This window comes from Homo sapiens, chromosome 4 (assembly GCF_000001405.40).
Source record: "Homo sapiens chromosome 4, GRCh38.p14 Primary Assembly".
Taxonomy (NCBI): Eukaryota; Metazoa; Chordata; class Mammalia; order Primates; family Hominidae; genus Homo; species Homo sapiens.
In genome coordinates this window covers 13,086,914-13,088,547 of record NC_000004.12, presented here as the reverse complement: position 1 = coordinate 13,088,547, position 1,634 = coordinate 13,086,914, and positions in this window count along the sequence as shown.

Below are 1,634 nucleotides of genomic sequence, written 5' to 3'. Positions count from 1 at the left end.
TCTTTTCAATGGCAGCTGTCTCCTTAACTGTTGGCCTTGTCATCCCTGAATAATAATAAGACCTACGTTTTAAAACAGTGAAATGAAAGAGCATGAAAATAAGAATTGAGGACATGGGTTCCAGTCCTGATTGTGTCATTGCTTTCCTGGGAGACCTTGATCAAATTTCCTAATTTCTCTGGGTCTCAATTTCCTTGTCTCTGAAGTGAGGCAACTGGATTTCTCTAGATGAATCCTAAAATGTCTTTAAATGTTCAAATTCTATGAATTTAGTCTTTTAGCAGGTAGATAGGAGGTTTATGATAGAGACTTTCAAATAATGTGATATTTTCATGAAGCATTTACTGAGTACCTGCTATTTGACAAGCATTGAGCTAGGCACTAGGAATCCAAAGATGGCTAAGAAAAATTTCCTGCTTTCAAATTTCCTGGTTTTCAAAATTTCACGCTTTCAAATGCATAATGCTGTTTTCACATCTATTGTGTTGCTTGTAGAGATTTACAAAACATGTCTGCTAGCTTTCCTGAGAAGGCCTGCCATGCACCAAAGACAGTGAAAAGCACTCGTGTTAAAAGATTAAATATAAGCTGAGGAAATATAAAATTGACATTAAATATACAGAGTAATGTATACAAATATCATGATGAAATGCCTCCCAAATTCCCTTTCCCATTGCATATGTGCAGACATTTATAAACTGCATAGTTAAGCAAGAAAAAAGGATGTCATCTGGCCCCAGAGGTGGCATGTTGCTTAGGCTATTCCCGAGCTTCTATTTGATATTGGAACTTCCTTAATTTTTGATTCTTTGTAATTGTACTTACTGCTCAAGCCCTCTGGGTTCCTTGAGAAAATGCTTTTCATACCATAACACCTTCTATTTTATTGCATCTACAAAAGTGTCAAATGCTCTTTTAACACTGTAGTAGAAGAAATCTTCCAGAATTTCTAGCTTTAATTTTTTTTTGGTGAGAGTAGGACAGATTCCATTCTGAATTCCACTTTTTGGAGTCTTTGTCGACGACTTTTCCTCCCCCAATTTTATATTTTCTTTATTTTTTTGCAGCCTCCCCACTGGCATTAGCCACAGTTAAAACTTTCTACTGCTGTCTCACTGGAATTTTGCTGTTCCCCTTTTCAGGTATACTTTCCTATGTTTGCAGCAGGGATAATATTTTCAAAAAAATATTAAAACAAGGTATTTTCCTTCCCCATAAACTGTGTTGCCTAGCAGTTTCCCCTGCTCAATGAATCAATGCCATTCATTCCTTTCAGGAGATTGTGGCTACCAACCAGAACAAAGAATTCATTGCTCAATTTTGAGTTTCATAGTAGATTTTTTAAAGTGCATAGTGAGATAATAGTCTTGACAGTCTCCTTTTCATAAAGAGAGATTATTTTTCTTAAATTTCCCAATTTTATGTATAAAAGACGAGGCTGAATTTCTGAGCTATATTTGCCTTTAGCCATTGTGTAGGGATGATAAGAAAGAATATGTATGTTTATTTCCAATAGGAAAGGAAGAACCATGCTAACACGGGGAAGAGAGCCAGGAGATGGGGATGAAGATGCTGCCTAGGGCTTTCTAAAGCAATATTCACTCCTTGAATTTCTAATCAAGTTGGGTAACATG